Source organism: Homo sapiens, chromosome 11, assembly GCF_000001405.40.
Source record: "Homo sapiens chromosome 11, GRCh38.p14 Primary Assembly".
Classification (NCBI taxonomy): Eukaryota; Metazoa; Chordata; class Mammalia; order Primates; family Hominidae; genus Homo; species Homo sapiens.
In genome coordinates this window covers 56,847,377-56,865,504 of record NC_000011.10, presented here as the reverse complement: position 1 = coordinate 56,865,504, position 18,128 = coordinate 56,847,377, and the positions used below count along the sequence as shown (strand labels likewise).

The 18,128-nt window shown below is 38.3% G+C and overlaps 1 long non-coding RNA gene across 2 annotated transcripts in view; it reads right to left on the bottom strand.

The window, feature by feature from the left end:
- LINC02735 (long intergenic non-protein coding RNA 2735) overlaps positions 1-17,027 on the bottom strand; it is a 29,601-nt gene extending 12,574 nt beyond the window's left edge. For both annotated transcript variants that reach the window (NR_110136.1, NR_110137.1), the window contains exon 1: positions 16,890-17,027. This is a non-coding gene — a long non-coding RNA (long intergenic non-protein coding RNA 2735). The remainder of the gene's footprint in view (positions 1-16,889) is intronic.
- Between the last annotated feature and the right edge of the window lie 1,101 nt (positions 17,028-18,128).

Here is an 18,128-nt window from a genome sequence, read left to right as displayed (position 1 = left end):
CCAAAATGTGAGACCCAAATATCTGAGACAGGTCTCAGTCAATTTAGCAAGTATATTTTTCCAAAGTTAGGGATGCACCTGTGACATCCTCAGGAGGTCCTGAGGTCATGTGCCCAAGGTGGTCAGGGTACAGCTTGCTTTTATGCATTTTAGGGAGACATGAGACATGAATCAATATGTGTAAGATATACATTGGTTTGGTCTGGTAAGGTGGGACAACTCGAAGTGGGGGCTTCCACATTAGAAGTAGATAAGAGATAAAAGGTTGCATTCTTTGGAGTCCTTGATCAGCCCTCTTCTGAATACACAATTTAGTCTGGATCAGTGAATCTGCATTTTTACATAAACAGTAGGGCAGAGGAAGCAATCAGATCTATATTTGTCTCAGGTGAGCTCAGAGGGATGACTTTGAGTTCTGTCTGTTCTTTGTCCACAAGAAATTTCCTTCTGGGAAAATTGTGAGAAATGAATGTAGCTTCTTATCTTTGTAGCTATGTTATTTAGGAATAATATGGGAGGGAAGTTTGCCCTATGCAGTTTCCAGCTTGACTTTTCCCTCTGGCTTAGTGATTTTGGGGTCCCAAGATTTATTTTCCTATTACACTACTTTGTACCCTGGGCCAAGTCCAAATCACAATCTCCGTGATATGATGATAAACAAAATAAACTCTCCTCTCACAAGTAAAAATTTTAGAAGCATATCTTGGAGTCACATATTTGTTTGAAATAATGATGATAATGATCATGATAACAATAATAAAACATTATTAAATATAATAATAAAACATTAATACCTAAAAATTTATTAAGAATTCAAGACATTCCAGCACTACTTTAAAAATTAACTTCACCTCCACTAGAAAGTTAATTCTCACCACAATTTTATGAGGTAAATATAGAAAGTTTTAGTAACTTGCCCAAGTTTGCACAGCTTGCCAATGATATGGCTGGGAAGACTTTTTTTTGTATTATTCCATTTATAGTCACTACTTCACCTCTCAGCCATGAAACTTCCTTCTGCTACACATTCCTTAACTTCGTTATCATAACATACTTTGGGAGCCCCCTCACTCTAGCCAATCTAGAAAACTCCCTTGTATTCATTAAGACTCATTTAGGGAAATCTGTGAAATTCATTAAATTTCCCCTGGGTTTCCTTAGTACTTAGTGCATGTCTCTGTCACAGTAAATAATCATTACGTGTCTATACATTTGCCTCCTTCAGTAATCTGTGAGCTCCAAGAGAAACAACATGGTGCTTCTTTTTTTCTTTTTCTTATCCCGAAGATGTGGACCAGGTCAATGTCTAATAAATGTTTTATGAATGAATAATGAAAGAATGAAAAAATAACTCAATTACCTGAACAGAGCCAAAATTCAGACAAGAAGAAAACTCTGAGCAGCCCAAATGAATGGCATAGGATTCATGCTGTGAGGTGCACGGGTAGTCCTCAGAGAAGTGCAGTTGGAATGTATCAAATTGTCTATTCATCTCTTTCCAATGGAATTGCCCTAACCTCTTTCTAAGGACATGGTTCCATTGGAGCATCATGTTCTTATAATGGAACTCTTTCCTCCAGGCCACGGGCTGCCCCAGGAGACCTACTCAACCCATGTCAAGCCAGTGAATTTCTTTTGGAAGTAGTTATCATCATGAAGGGAGGAGATGTGAATCTGAGAGCTGTTGGCAGTGGTTACTTTCCACCACTTAGACCAGGAAGCCAAGAAGCTTGTCTGCAGCAAGTGTGAAAAGTGAGATGCCAGGAAAAAGAAGTCAAGTTTATAAATTCAGAAAAACTTCCTGGATAGAACTCTCATAGTACTCCAGTGACTGAGGTATATAGGTTCCCTGATAAAATGGCCGTATATATTATATTCACAATTATATCCCCAGCTGTAGTACTGTAGGCATTTTATAATTATTTGTTCAATGAATAAGTAAATAGGGTCTCAAGTGGAGGAAACAGTTAAATGAAAAAAAAGTGGCAGCTGTTCTGAATTATTTTGATCTTGGAAGATTTTATATTTCATGTAGGATTATAATTGACTGATTGTTGATTTCATCATTTTGACTTAGAAACTTTTGCTCTGAAAAATATGGCAGGAGTTCATTTGGGTGGATTAGATAATCATCAAAGTTACTTGAAAAGCTTGTATAAATGTCAGGTTCTGGATACCAGCCTGTGGAAATTCTGATTCAGTTAGTCTGGGGTTGGGTTCCAGAGTCTGCATTTTTCAAAGTGTTCCCCAGGTGATTCTGCTGAATAGCCATGTTCTTAGAGTTCCACAAATCCCCATACCCTGTGGCTCACTCATCTCCCAGTTCTAAGCTATTTATTGCATTGAGTATTTAGGTAACATCAATTTGTCATTTATTCAGTGACTACTTGTTACCAAATATATGTAAAAGACGTCAAAAATTGATGGCTTGCTCTGCTTTCAAAATTTCCTAACAGAAAAGCAGTGGCTACCTTTCTTAAATTAACAATAAAGCAATGTTTTCTTCACAATCAGAAATTTCATGGTATCATCTCTTCATAATGTAAGTAAAGTATGTGTGAAGTCACAAATTCTATACAATGAGAGAACTTGGTTTTACAAAAAAGCTATTCTTATTTCCCTAAATAGGAGTTAATTTATCCTGACCTATTCTGTCTGCTTCTCAGAGAGGTGGGGCATGGATATTGTCCAAGATAAAGTAGAAACTGTAACTTTTACCATAAAGGTCAAATGCACCACTGTGAATTGTGAGCTGAATTTGAAATTTGGATTTATATCTGGAGATCTTGGAAGTGATAGTACTGTTGACTGCCTTTTCAGAGGGTTGGTGGCTGGACTGGGATATGGCAAACATTGAAACACCCTGGGTTCTAGTCACCTTACTGAGCAGCTGGATGCACTACAAAGTTATTTCTCCTTTCTGGGTCTCCATATCTTTATCTTTCATTGAGACATTGTATCCAATGAAGTTGTTCTCAAGCTGGAGGACTTGGAAATCCCAAAAAATACTGAATTAGAAGTCAAAAGCGGTCACTTTGGATGTTCATTTGGGGTCAAGATATTCAAAACAACAAACATAAAAATTGAGCATCAAAATTACATGTCAGAACTTGATAACAAGGGTGGTAATCTTAATAGACACATTATTTTTACAATTTAAATAAAAATGGATTTTTTCTTAGAGTTGTTGAGATGCCAAGTTAAGAAACAATATATCTGAAGTTTCTTCCAGCCATGTCTGATTTTCCAGCTATGTCAAGTTCTTCAGAATGGGGCCAGGAGCCTGGCTGCTACCAGATCATCTTCAGGCAATCAGTCTCCTCCTGTTGACCATAGATAAAGTACACTTCTGAATTCTCCCTACTAGATATAAAGGTTAGGTCTACAGATAACAAGGTGTTTAAGAACTCTGATCTCCTGAGAACACATAATGTGCCAAATATCCTGCTAGGAATTATTGGGAGGTACACAAGAAAGGGAGAGTGTGTGGTCTCTGCCCACCTGTGGTTTGCCATCTGCCACCCTCTTGCATTTTCTGTGCTCCTACAACTTGCCAGGAGCTAGACTATGTGTAGAGTCACACGGAAGCAACTCCTTTTGCTTGGAGTACCCCACACACCTTGCCTTCTTGGAAACCCCTTGGTCATTTTTCAAAACTCAGTTTTCCATATCACTTTTATCTTATAATGATCACTCTTGGTAGGGCTGGAACTCCTTTGTATTCTTACCGTACCTGGGTATGGTGCGATTGTAGCTCTTGTCATACCTCATTTGTATCTTTCCTGAACTAGACCATGAATTCCTTATTTCTCAGTTTCCTAAACCTGCCACTAACTAGTGCTCAATACTTGCTTATAGAGGGAATCAATGTGTCAATGGCTAACTAAAACCCAGAGATGTTCAAATTCTATTCTGTCATCGATTCTCTGAGATGGAGGAGGCTGGGTGGGTGGGTGCAAGTTTCAGTTAAAATAACTCCTAGCTTCCCTTCCTTTTCATTTTAGCAATGCCAGGCCTGACATCTCCTTTCAGCATCATCCCTGATTACTCTCTCCCTCCCTAATTAGAAATGTCCTTAGGTATTTCATTCTAGGTGCATACTTTTTTTGTTTTTTGGATGTGCTGTTTTCAATCTCATGTCCTGTGCATCATCTGATGATGATGATCTGATGATAATTGCAGAGCCTGCAAAACAAATTCTCACAGAAGGGAAAAGGTGCCTTCTGAAGGTCTAATGAACCCTTCAGGTGACAAGATAAAGTCACAAACCTCCCTTTCATGCCTCTGCACACTGAGGCTCAATAACACATTCAGCTCTGTGGTTGGTCTGCTGATTCTTGTAGTTGTTGTTGTTACCGCATAACCTATAATGTTCTAAAATGTTAATTGCAATTTCTCCAGTTGTCTTCACAGCAGACCTGTAGCCTCATTTTGCAAATGAGATTGAGAATGGACAGGGACCCGTTCAAAGTTCCAGAGCTGGAAAGTGACTTGGGAATCTGACATATTTGGATCTGGCTTTCTAGCTGATGTTCTTTCTAATTTGGCACAGTGTCACTCAGCTATGACTAGTTTTATTGGATGTTTATTTGCTGTCCTTTCCCCTCTGTTTGGATATTTCATAAAGATATCTCTTTTCAATTCCTGACCTATTCTATATGGTCTGGTTCTAAAATGGAGGAGTTGAACACTAAGGATAACTCAGCCCTGTCCTTTCGTCAAATATGGAACTAAATCCTTTCTGTGCACCTAGAGATGTATTAGGCCCTTTAGGAGATATAAAGATAAATAGGTTAGTTTTGCCTTCAGAGAGCTCACACTCTATAATGGGAACAAAATAACTTCAGAATTCATGATGACACAAAGCAGTATGTTAACACTGCCATGAGAATGTCTATATGATCTGTAACAGGGGGTTGAAGGTGTAAGAATTCTCATTTGCTTGACATGGTCAATGAAGGCTTCATAAAGGAGACAACAAGGAATTAGACCATGAAAGATGGAGAAGCTTTCCAATGACATCAGTCAGGGGAGGACATGTGGGGACAGGTAACAAGATAAATAAAGACCTCCATTTGCGAAGATATAGAGCATGGAGTAGGAATGAGAAATGTTTTGAATTTCTGGATTACAGCATGAATTAAAGCAGGAATTGGAGATAAAGTGAGAATTATAATGTTAGCATTGGATTGCAGAAAGCTTTGAATGCCAAGTTTAGGTAATTGGATTTTAATATTATTAGAGACTTTGTAATTTCCTTCTTTCTTTCTTTCTTTCTTTCCTTCCTTCCTTCCTTCCTCTCTCTCTCTGTCTTTTTCTTTTTTCTTTCTTTCTATGGAGTTTCACTCTTGTTGCCCAGGCTGCAGTGCAATGGCATGATCTCGGCTCACCACAACCTCCACCTCCCAGGTTCAAGAGATTCTCCTGCCTCAGCCTCCCAAGTAGCTGGAGCTACAGGCATGTACCACCAACCCTTGCTAATTTTGTATTTTTAGTAGAGATGGGATTTCTCCATGTTGGTCAGGCTGGTCTCAAACTCCTGACCTCCAGTGCTCCATCCACCTCGGCCTCCCAAAGTGCTGGAATTACAGACATGAGCCACCGCGCCTGGTGAGATTTTGTGATTTCTACAGTTTTATTCGGCAAGAGAGCCCCAGACTGTGGAGAGTGTTTTTAATTGTGTTACTTGAAAGGCGATTAATTGGGCAAGACTGTGGAGGGCAAACTGGAATGGGGGAAGAACTGGAGGCAGAGAGAACAGTCAGAGGTTTGTGCAATGGATTAAGGTGAGAGGTGATGAGGACCTGAAAAAGAATGGGGGTGGTAGGAATGGAGAGGAGAGGTGCTTGACATCTGGTCTTTTCACTCCAACCACAGGCATCATTCCTTAACTCTGTTGTGGAGCTTCCAATAAGTAATATTTCTTTTTCTTTTTCTTTTTTGTTTTTGAGACAGAGTGTCACTCTGTCACCCAGACTGGAGTGCAGTAGCGCAATCTCGGCTCACTGCAACTTCTGTCTCCTTGGTTCAAGCAATTCTCCTGCCTCAGCCTCCCGAGTAGCTGGAACTACAGATGTGCATCACCATGTCCAGCTAATTTTTTTTGTGTTTTTAGTAGAGATAGGGTTTCACCATGTTGGCCAGGCTGGTCTCAAACTTCTGACCTCAAGTGATCCGCCTGCCTCGACCTCCCAAAGTGCTGGGATTACAGGTGTGAGCCACGACACCTGGCCTCAGTAAGTAATATTTCTAGTGGAAGCTCCATTTGGTATAATTATAGCTGCAAAATATTCACTGATCCCTTTCCAGCTTCCACTGAGGCAAATAGAGAATGCCTTACTCTGAGAAAGTTGTACAGAGCTCTCTTTGTCTTATAGATGGTTAGAGAATATAAATGGATGGAAATCATCTACCAACCACCCTGCTTTTTAAAAGAATAGCAACTGCATGGAAGAAAATATATTGGAGACTAGGCTAGGGCATGATTAGGGTTGGGAATGCTGGAAAGAGCCTCTGATTGAGAATCATAGGATAGAGGTTTTGTAATGGCTGTGTCTCTATCTAACTGTGGCTTTGGCAAGCCATTCACTCTTTCTAAGCTTCAGTATCCACCCAGATCAAGTGATGGAGTTGGGGTTCAGGGGTTTTTAACTTTTCTCAATGATGGAGCTTTTGGTTTAAATAAATTCTTACGAGGAGTCCAAGGTATGAAACAGATGCATGAAAAATGTAGTGAAGAGGCTGCAGTGAGGAGCTTGAATCCTAGCTTACTCAGCCTCTGTATAAACGCTTCTACCCCTAGTCTCTGGGGATCCATGAAACATTGTAAGAAATTATTGGTTGATCTCACATGTTCCTTTAAGGTCATTGTAGTTATACATGAGTCTCCAGGCAAAAGTTACACATTGAGTTCCTAACATCTTTGTGTTCTTGAGTTTGTTCGAAAGGTGAAGTAGGTAGTGAAGCTATATTCCTTACACAATGGCTTTCTTTTAATTCCTCAAACATCTCCAATTTATTCTTTGATAAGTCACTCCTCCAAAACATCCTTTCTCTATATTTTTGCACAATTTACTGCTTTCTCATTATTTAAATCTCTAAATAAATATGTTTCCTAAGAGTCCTTCCTTTAGAAGCCGACTTACTGGGAAGCCCCTCACTTGGATTGTTGCATTCCAAGGCCCTGGGAGAGACCCCAGCAATGTTCTCACATGAACATATGTTTTTGTAAAATTTGTAAAATTTCTACGTCGCACAAACCAAAACAAAAGAACAAAATCCCCCCACTCTATACATAAAATGAAATCGCAAATATCAAATTGAGGGAAAAAATTGCAACTCCTATCCTAGACAAAAGGTTAATTTTCTTAATATAAAGAGAGCTGCTGGCTGGGCGCAGTGGCTCACACCTGTAATCAGCACTTTGGGAAGCCACGGTGGGCAGATTGTTTGAGCCCAGGAATTTGAGACCAGCTTGGGTAACATGGTGAAACCCTGACTCTACAAAAATAAAAATAATTAGCTGAACATGGTGGCATGTGCTGTAGTTCCAGCTGCTGAAGGCTGAGGCGGAAGGATCACTTGAGCGTGGGAGGCAGAGGTTGCGGTGAGCCAAGGAGTCTGTCTCAAAAAATATAAATAAATAGATGAATAAATAAATAAATAAAAAGGAAGTGCCACAATTAAGACCAACACAGAGATACCATTTCAAACCAATCAGATGGGCAAAAATCCAAAAGTTTATAAAATACTTTTCTGATGGATTTTTGAGAAAACACCTCATGAAGTACTAGTAGGAGTAAAAGTTTACTACCACAAAGGAAGGGAATAAAGCAAATTTTATCAGTTCCTCTAAGGCAGTGAGCTTTCCAATGCAAAATGGAATACATACAAGGTTACTCATTGTTTATACTGGCAAACACCTAGAAACCAGCTAGATTTCCATCAATAGAGGATTGATCATATAAACTATTGTTCACTTCTACAGGAAAGTAGTATGTGGTAAAATGAGAAACTCTAGGCACTGTCATGGAAATGTGTCTAGGATATATTTTTAAATAAAACAAGGAATATTTAGTACAGTATATATAGTATACTATATAAGGAAGGGGAGGATATAGTATAATACTGTATTTGCTTGTATTTGTGTAAGCATTTGAATGATACCCAAGCAGCTAAAGCTAAGCCATTTTTAGTTCATGCAAGGGAAGGGTGATGAGAGATGGAATGGTGTGGACAGGGACAAAGGAGAAATGAGGAGACTTTCCAATGAGTAACACATTACAGTGCTTTGGTGAATACGTTAATAATTTACTTTTCCAAAAAGTAAAATAAAAGAAATCTCAGCAGTGGCACATACTTTTAAAGTAACTTTCAGTAAGTTATTTAAAGTTCTTGAACCTCAACTTTCCCATCTATGAAATGGAGAAAACAGCATCTACGCAGAACTTTCAATTATTCACACAAATCAAGCTCTTTCTTGATTCCAGACATTTTCATGTCTGTGCCTTCTGTGTGGAATGGGCTATGCCTGGGCTTTGGAGAACTGCATCTCATCGCTGGACACTCCACTCTAATATGTAATATAGTCTCTGTCCCACTCATTTGTTTCTGGCCTATTTCTCTACTTCATTTTCTTCATAGCGTCTTATCATTAGCTGAACTTCACGCTCTCTCTCTCTCTCTAAATTTTTTTAGAACCATGCTCCATGTCCAAGACATTTTTTTAATGAATGAATAAATGTTATACTCAATGCAGACTGCGTAGAAGAGGCTCAGTTACTTTTAGCTATTTCTATCATTGGGTACACAGCAGGGGTCATACTGTATTGGACAGTATTTCCACACTTCAGTTATCCAAGTTACTAGCTTGTAAGAATATATTTATTTCTTTCTATAACCTCGAAGTAAGACTTAATTTAGATGGATAGCATTTGGAGTAAGAACTAAAGAAATTTAAAAGACTTTCTAAAAGGAAGGCCACCATCTCACTCCCTGAATCAAACTTTTACATTTAATTAGACCTCTGGTGTTCTCTCGGACTCATTATTGTCTTATTTTGACTTTGGTGTGAAACCAAAGAACCATGCCCTCTCTACAATATGGGCTAAGAATAAAAGCAGCCCCACAGCTTCTCCTACCTTGGCATCAGATCATGGCCCCTAATTGTTTGCATGTCTTATTATAGAGAGGAAGCTCAATTATCTCCTCCTCCTGCAGAGTATTGGGAGAGAAACTCCTTGTCTGTTTCCTCTTTTTTCCCCTTCAAGAAAGGTAATATCTTTGTACTTGATTTCACCTTAGGAATGGAAGCAGGAGAGAAAAACGATGCACAAGTGCACACGCACACACACACACTCACACACATTTAAATTTTTGCAAATATTTTTTAGCAGCTTTTTTTTTCTGGTTTTCTAGACAAATATTTAGAATGACATAAGGGAGTTAAACCCCTGAACATAACATGTTTCATGTGTACAGTGATGTAAGTTAAGTTCTCCCTAATTCACATATTACTTCCTTTGAACTCCCTTTCTCTATGCCCAAGCACAATGGGGCCTCTGAGAGACATGTTCTCATGCTTAATTTAAAATGTATATTATAATAATCTTAAATTATATGTAAATACATGAGTATGTGTGTGTGTGTGTGTGTGTGTGTGTGTATTTTTCAACAAAATGAGGTGGAGAGGTGAACTATTTTCTATCCATTTTGCCTAATATCAGTAGCTTCTCTGGCTGATTCCCGGCCCCTGAGTAGCAAATTTTGAAGTGTTCATTATTTGTTTGATTACTTTAATTTCCCACCAGACATATATAGAGTGGAATAATGAAGGAAATGAGCGGGGAGATTTATGTACAATATTATAAACGCCATACAAGGGAATTTTAAAATATTCTGCTTTGTACTTTGGAGCATAACAGAAATTTCTAAGGTGTGAGTTTGGAGAGGCATATGCTCTCTGCAAGATTCATTTCATCCCTAACCTTGTCTGGCAGTGTGTGTATCTGTCTGTGTTCTATTTCTTGTTCACCTGGCACATGAGGAAATAGCTCTGTGCAGGTGCCGCTTTCATGGATCAGGGAATTGTAGATGATCAAGTGACTCATTTCAGGAAAAGGTATTGAAGCCAAACCTTATGATTTTCCTGCCTAAACTTTCCCAGCCTGAAATAAACTGATTTCTGATAAGCCAGAGGAGAACCCAGACAGAAAAATCGGTTGTGCCTGAGGCACTACTCCATTGGATTATAAAATGTTCAAGGCTGGGAATGTGTCTTGTTCAAGTTTGCACTCTTCATTGGCATGTAGTGGTCAATGAGTTGGTGGTTATTTTTTAGTATTTATAATAACAATGCCTTAAGTTTACAAAGGTCTTTGAAATACAGATCTTTCTTTCTCTCTCTTTCCTTCTTTCCTCCCTCCCTCCTTTCCCTTCTCCCTCTCTTTCCTTCCTTTTTTCCTTCCTTTTTCCTTTCTTCCTTTTTTCCTTCCTTCCTTTTTCTTTCCTTCCTTCCTTCCTCCCTTCCTCCCTCCCTCCCTCTCTTCCCTCCTTTTCCTTTTCTTTCTGTCTCCTCTTCTCTTCTCTTCTTCTCTCTCTCTCTCTTTTATAGAGACAGAGGCCTTACCATGTTGCCCAGGCTGATCTCAAACTAGAATCTTTCATATTTATTATCTTATTTAAAACAAATCCCAGTAGTTTGAGGCTTGTTATATTATTGCTGTTTCACAGATAAGGGATTTCTCAAAGTCACAGAAGAGGTAACAGTTGGTGGTTGTGAGGGCTGGCACCAGCACTTCTGTCTCTAAGTGGACTCTTCTCACTTTGTCTCAATTGCCCCCATTTATTTTAATGACTGGAAGAAAAATGAATGAATGATTGGATGAGTAAAAGAACTAAAGCCAGGACAATTCACCAACCCTCAGGGATGGAGAAGCTAGCCTGGCTAAAGTAGACCCGGACAGAAGATCCATCAGGATCCCCCTGAGAAATACAGGCTGTTGGTATTAGACTGCAAACTACAAATGTAACAGGGAGGGAAACTCATGCGTATTATACTTAGATATGCAAATAATCTGTACTTCTAATTTTTTTCTATAATTAATTGCATCTTTATTATGAGCCCATATAATGCTGAGTAGCAGGGGCTACTACACTGAGTTCAGTTTGTTAAATGCAATTGCACTGCTGATCTCAAAAACCCTGTATTTCAGATGCCTCTTCTCCACACACCTCTCTAGATTGGCCTCTAGAGATATGAGGAAGGGACTTTAGGAGAATTTATGGTGAATGGAATAGGAGAAGTCTCTTGGATTTACATGAGAGCCCTCTGGCTTCCCTGGCTCTTATGGTAACTTTATTGTCAACCTAGTTGAGTCTCACCTTACTGGCTTCCTTAGCTGGTGATGCCCTGCCCTCTTCTTTAAGCACAGTCAGGAGAACAAGAACTGTGTTCTTCCCTGTCTCCAAGTTCTCGCTTTGGTTCAGCTGGTGATGATAGCTTGTGTTACAAGAACAGGTGCAGAAAGTTTTGAAAGGCTCAGATATCTGCCACGTTAGTTCATAGACAGGTCAATATAGCTAGGTGTTTAAAGCAAACTAGACCTCAGATTTTTCCTACTGTTAGGCTTAAGAGAGTACCTTCTATCCACCACTCCACCTTATAATATCTCTGTCCAAATTAGCTTATGCTGAGTTAAGAGTTGGAAGGGAGAAGAAGTGATGAAAATTCTTTTGATTAGTCAATGAATTTAGGGGGAATGGCCAGGAGTTCTGCTAAGAGGATTTGATTAACATCACTAAGAGGAATCTTGAGGAGGCTTCAAAGATCAGGGACTCAGACTCCTGAAGAAAATACCATAACCATTCTCTCCTACCCACCATCCAACTTTGCAAGATGTTCTCTTTATAGGTGAAGTGACCTCTCTGAGTTAGACAAGCCATGAGGTACTCTGGCTCCTGGACAGTGAGTGGATATTGATTGGAAAGGAACATTTGGGGTTGACTCAGAGTTAAGAATCTCAGTCTCTTAACCTATCCCAGCAAAATTTATTCCAAGTTCAGAGGAAGAATGAGTACACTACAAGAAATTAGTTAAAGCAATTAAAAATATAAATGGATATTTACTGAATACCTACCATGTGCCAGGCACTATTCTAGGCACTGAGGGAAAAACAATGGGGCTGGAGGGAGGAGTGAGAAGGAAAAAAAAAAAAAACAACAGACAAAATTATCCAACTTTCTGGAGCTTCTATTCCGGAAGGGATTTCAGATAATAAATAACATAACTAAATAAACTATGCAGCACATTAGTGATAAATATAGAAAGAAATAAAGGAGGAAGGAGGATACAGGTAGAGTGGGGAGTGCAATTTAAATTGGTTTGAACAGAGAATATCTCACTGAGATGACATTTGAGCAAAAACTTGAAGAAGGTAAAGAAGCGAGCCACGTGGTTGGATATCTGAAAGAAGAGAATTCCAGTGAGAAGGTAGTACTGTTTCTGGTATATGTTAGAAGCACAGGACGGAGATTACTAGAGCTGGAGGGTACTGTCTGGTGAGGAGAAAATCTGTAAATGAGGCTAAAGAAATAAAGGAGTAGGGCCTTGATCATGGAAAAGGCTCTTGGTTGTTTCCCAGGTGAGATGGGAGCCCTTGAGCCCTTGAGCACAGGAAGGACCTGGTCTGATTTCAAGAATCATTTGTTTGCTGTGCTGAGAATTGATTCTCTCTACTATTCTAGGAGAAAAGTAGAAGCAGATAAACCAGTTAGGTTACTGTCACAATAATTCTAGTGAGAGAGATATTAGTAGCTTGGGATTGGGTAGCAGCAAGAGAGAGTGGGAGAAATAATTAGATATGGATATATTTTGTAGTAGAACCACTCAATAGCATGGATTGGATGTGGGGTAGAAGAAAAATAGGAAAATCAAGGATGTCTTCAAAATTTGTGGATTAACTAGAAAAATGGAATCACTATTAAGATGTGGAAGGCTTTAGGTGCGTTAGGTTAAGGGAAAGATTAGAAGTTGGTTTTTGCACATATTAATTTTGAGATGCCTATAAAACATCCAATAATTATTTGTTGAGTAGGTATTTGGAGTCTGACTTTAAGGGACAAGTCTGAGCTGGACATATAAACTTGTAAATCATCAGCACATAGATGGTTTTGAAAGGCATGAAACTAGATGAGATCATCAAGAGGGTGAGTGTAGACAAAACAAAAATGTAATAACATGGCTGAGCATTTTTTAGCATCCCAGGCCTTTAAATCCAGCTCTCAGCTGGAGATACCACTTAGGTATCTCCAGGCATCTCAAATTTAACAGGTCCAAAACTCAGTGCATTATCTGACCTCTTTCAAAACTTGCTATGTAAGCACAGTACTGATATTAAGTTGAATGATTATAGTAGGCTCTATTTTTTGAGTGCTTACATGTCTGGCATTTTGCTAAGCACTTTACATGCATTATTTAGTTTAATCCTTACAGTATCATGTTAAGTAGATATTACTATTTTCTTTCTATAGCAGATAAGAAAAGCGAGGCCAGAAAGTTTGAATAAATTGCCCAGGGACACACGACTAGTAAGCGGTGAAGTTTGATGGTAATCCCAGGTCTCTTGAATCCAGACCTTATATTTATAACAACCAAGTCATATAGTATCTTGATATTCAGGAAAAGTAAGTCTAGAGACTTTCCTAAATTTTTAGTTTTGTAACTTGTTTTGCATTATGGGGTTCTTTGATAATCTGATGAGAACTATAGATAATTCCCCTGGAGATATGCACATATGGGAAGAGAGCTAACACTTTGTATTCAATTTCAAGGTTCAATAGACACCTTCAGATCCATCCATGGACCTTGTCCACTTAAATATCAGTGGGACCTCCACAAAAAAATTTCTGCATCATGTCCCCCCATAATTTCTCTCATAAATGGCAATTTCTCTTTTAGTAACTTACTAAAAAATTTAATTGACCTTTTTTTAGGCTTTCATTTATTTACTTTAAAAGATATATATTCAGACAGGTAAATACTATAGACTTGTATAAACCTCATTTCTACCCTACCTCTATTCCTATCTACTCTATCCCATCCCCCAAATCTCATATTGAAAATGATGTAGTACTTTTCCTTAGTTCAGCTAAAGATGGGGTCTTGTCCCACGGCCAAGAAAATTTAGGCTTGCAGATGATTTTAAGGGTGAGTGAGGTAGGGTTTCACTGGGGGAAAAGGAAAAAAAGGGGAACAGAGAATCTCTGCAAGGCCAGAGTTACTGCTAGTGTGCTTCCTGCCTGTCAGCTTGAATCCCAGGTTCCACACAGGAAGATGAGGGGCTGCAAATGGTGCAAACTTCTGTGACTATATCCCATTGTACATTCCTCCTAGTACGCAGGCTGATTGGAAGCTCTGCCAGGGAGTCCTTCTCACCTGGCTGTCCCAGCAACAACTTCTATTACTTCCTTTAGTATCTGTCCAGTGTTTCTTTAATGTAAATATAGGCATGAATTTAGTTGTTGGTCCCCACTCCATCTCTTTCTTATATAAAGGTAACACAGTATGCTCATAATCCTTTGCTTTGCTTTTATTAATATATCCTGGGTTTCTTTCCAGATCAATAGGCAGAGAGCTTCTTCATTCATTTTTAATTGCAATCCGTCTACCAGTCTCTTATGAATGCACATTTGGGAGCTTTCTAATTTTTTCTCCTTTAAACAATGCTGCAGTGAATAACTAACAAAAGTCATTTTGAACATATGCAGGAATATCTATCAGATAAAGTCCTAGTAGTAAGATACTACTAGATACAAGTCAAAATGTAAATGCATTTGCATTTTTTAAACCATTTCTCAAGGCATTATTGCCATATGGAAAGTTGTATATATTTAATGTATTCATCTCAATAGGTTTTGGAATAAAAGCACACATCAATGAAACCATCGCAATCATCCAGGCCATAATTATATCCATCACCTCCCAAAGTTTCCTTCTGCTCTCTTTATTATTATTATTTTGTGGTAAGATAAAATAATAACATAATGTAAAATCTACCCCCTTAGCATTTTAAAGTATACAATACAGTATTGCTTGCTATAGGCACTATGCTATATGTTGGATCTCAGGTATTAAATTCTCCTGCATAACTGAAACTTTGTCCCTTTAACCATCACTCCTCATTCTCCCCTCTCCCCAGCTCTTGGCAACCACCATTCTACCCTCTGCTTCTATGAGTTTGACTATTTTAGATTCCACATATAAGTGAAATCATACAGTGTTTTTCTGTATCTGACTTATTTTACTTAATGTATAACCATGTTGCCACAAATGGCAGAATTTCTCTCTTTCTTAAGGCTGACTAATATTCTGTTGTACGTATATACCACATTTTCTTTATCTACTCATCTGTCAATGGATAAAGAACAATGGATATTTCGCATTTATAATTTTGATAGATATTACACAATTGCATTCCTTAGAAGTTGAAACATACTGCACATTCATTATAGCAATGTGAGAGAGTGCCTGTTTCTCTACAGTTTCCCCAGAAGCTGGTGTATTATTAAGCTTTTGAATTTTTACCAAATAGGTGAGAAATGCTATTTCTGTGTAGTCTTAATTTTCATTGTATGAGAGGGATGAGTATCTTTTCATAAGTTTAGGGCTGCAGTTACATTTCTTTTTCTGAGAACTTTCTGTTCTCTACTTTTCAGTTGGTTCTTTGGGCATTAACATTTCTATAAATATAAGACTAAAGTAATGGATAAAGTTACTAAAATAAAGAAGACTATTAAAATTTATTTCATGTGGCATTGTTGAAGCATTTTTATTTAATTTTATTTATTTATTTTACTTTAAATTCTGGGACACATGTTTTATCTGGGATACATGTTTTAATACATGAAAAAATACTGGCATTATTATTCTTTCCTTTTTTTATACTGTCAATATACCCTCACTAAGTTCTTATTGTTCTCTCTTGGCATCATGGGGGTTTTCCTAAATGGTGAAACAAGTCCAGCTTAAAATGAAGACTTCAGCATTGTCCTAAAGAAGATGAGTCACTTTTTACCTGCTTTAACCCAGAAGCTCATCTGTCTTGGGGATATTTGTGTGCCAAAGCACTTTCATCTACTGTAGATATATGCTGTCTGTGTTGATCATTTATTTTGGTTTCTAACCTCCTCTGCAATGGGCCACTTTGGCTTTTCAGTTCAGGAAAAACATAAAAACAAAAATATCTGATAAATCAGGAAAGTCAGTCAATGTTCTTTGTTTGATTATATGAAGCAGGGAAAACAGCCCTTAAAATTCTCTTACCAACTCAGTGGTAAACTTCTACTCAATAGTAAACTTGGATTAGACAAGCTCACTAGAACATTTTACTATGTGTAATTTAAGAATGTGTATTGCCAAGTTTCTGACTTTGTCCTGAAGTACATTTCTACTAAGAACCATTTGTTTTCCTGTGCTAATCCTGGCATGAAAAGTAAATCACCTTTTCAGATTTCACTACTGTTGTATCTCTCACTTGACAAGTAGCTTTTTCAGCGTTGGCAATGCTCCTGAAATAGTTCTATTAAATTTTTCTCCTATTTCTGTGTAAGCAGCATTTGAATTTATTCAACTTGTAGATATAAGCTTTTACTAAATTTGATTTTCCATTTTTACATTACAGCAAATCTTTTGTTTTCAATCTGAGAACGATTACTTTTACTCTTTATTATTCTTTGCTTCCATCTCCAATACCAGAAGTTGGCTTTCTTTTCAAGGCCATTTAAAAAATCACCCCCCCCCACCCAAAAAGAGAAAAAGAGAGGTTCATAAGAGAGGTTATGTGAGTTATCATATTCACACTGAATATAAAACAACAAAGCCTCATACTTACGGGCAAATGGTTAGGCTCACTCATCAGCTCAGTGATTCCCCCTTGTATAGAATGTAAGATAAAAATTTATGATACAAGAAAATTAAAGATGCCTGCAGAGGAAGTCTGGCAAGATTGCCTCCAGGTCCTTAGTATACTAAGGGAGTATGTGTCTAAAGACCCTAAACCTTAAAATATGATGTGCTCATCCTCACAAACTGCCAAATGACAACGGGCCTTTTATTCCTATAAACTTCCATTATCCTGCTACTGATGTAAAGATGAATTTCATGTTAATCATTAATGTCTCTATTTGTGTCAGGAGCCTCCCTGTCTAGACATTTTTTAGCTGGAGGGATAGCGGCTGCAAATTAGCCATGCAGTCACGCAGCACAGAAGTTCCGTTAGCGTAATGAACCTCTTGGGACTGGGATTGAGAACTGCAGGGACAGCAGCATCTCTGTGTGTCCCCTGCTGCCACTCGCCATTTTGGTAGAGTCAATACGATGCCTTTTTAATCACAATTTTGTTTCAACACATTTTGATCTGTTAATGGGCATTCATATGTCTTTGGTGAATATCTTGCTTTTTAAAAACATTTTCAAAGGAAGAAACTGTTTTTTACATTTACCAAAAGCCTATTAAGTGCAAATTCAAAGTGCCTATTTTCCACCTGTCCTCTGTTATTTTCTAGCACTCGCAACTTACAGGAGCCACTCACTTTTCTACTTTAGAAAAATTTTTCTTCTCATTTCTGCCCATACCTTCCCTGATCTCTCTTGTCTTTTGGTATTTCTCCCCTCCATCTGATGAGCTGCTCAGTTGTCATACATTTTCTGGTTTCAGCTCCCCGGAGAGGGCGGTTTATTTTCCACTCCGATTTTCTTGCAAGGGTCTGTTCATCCCACTTCTGACCTTTCTTTTTTGGAGACAGAAAAAGGAGGCATAGCATTAAATTGACCACGGCTAAATGTTTTGCCTGGACTGGGGAGCTGAGAAGAGAAGGCTGTAAATCTAGATATGAGGACTGTTTTTGTTCATCACACTCTTGCCATGATCAATCTTTGTGTATTCTTGTGGAGTGACATCCATGCCTAGTTTGCTTCTGTAGCCTTTTATTGAATTGCGAGCTTATCCCTGATGATTCTGGAATTGCTGGGCAGAGTCTGGCTGAAAACATTATCGTCCCTGCAAAAACCCTGGGCTGCGAAATAGTTTTGTTTAAGAGTAGATTTGTTAGAATTAGGCTTCCCTCTCCAT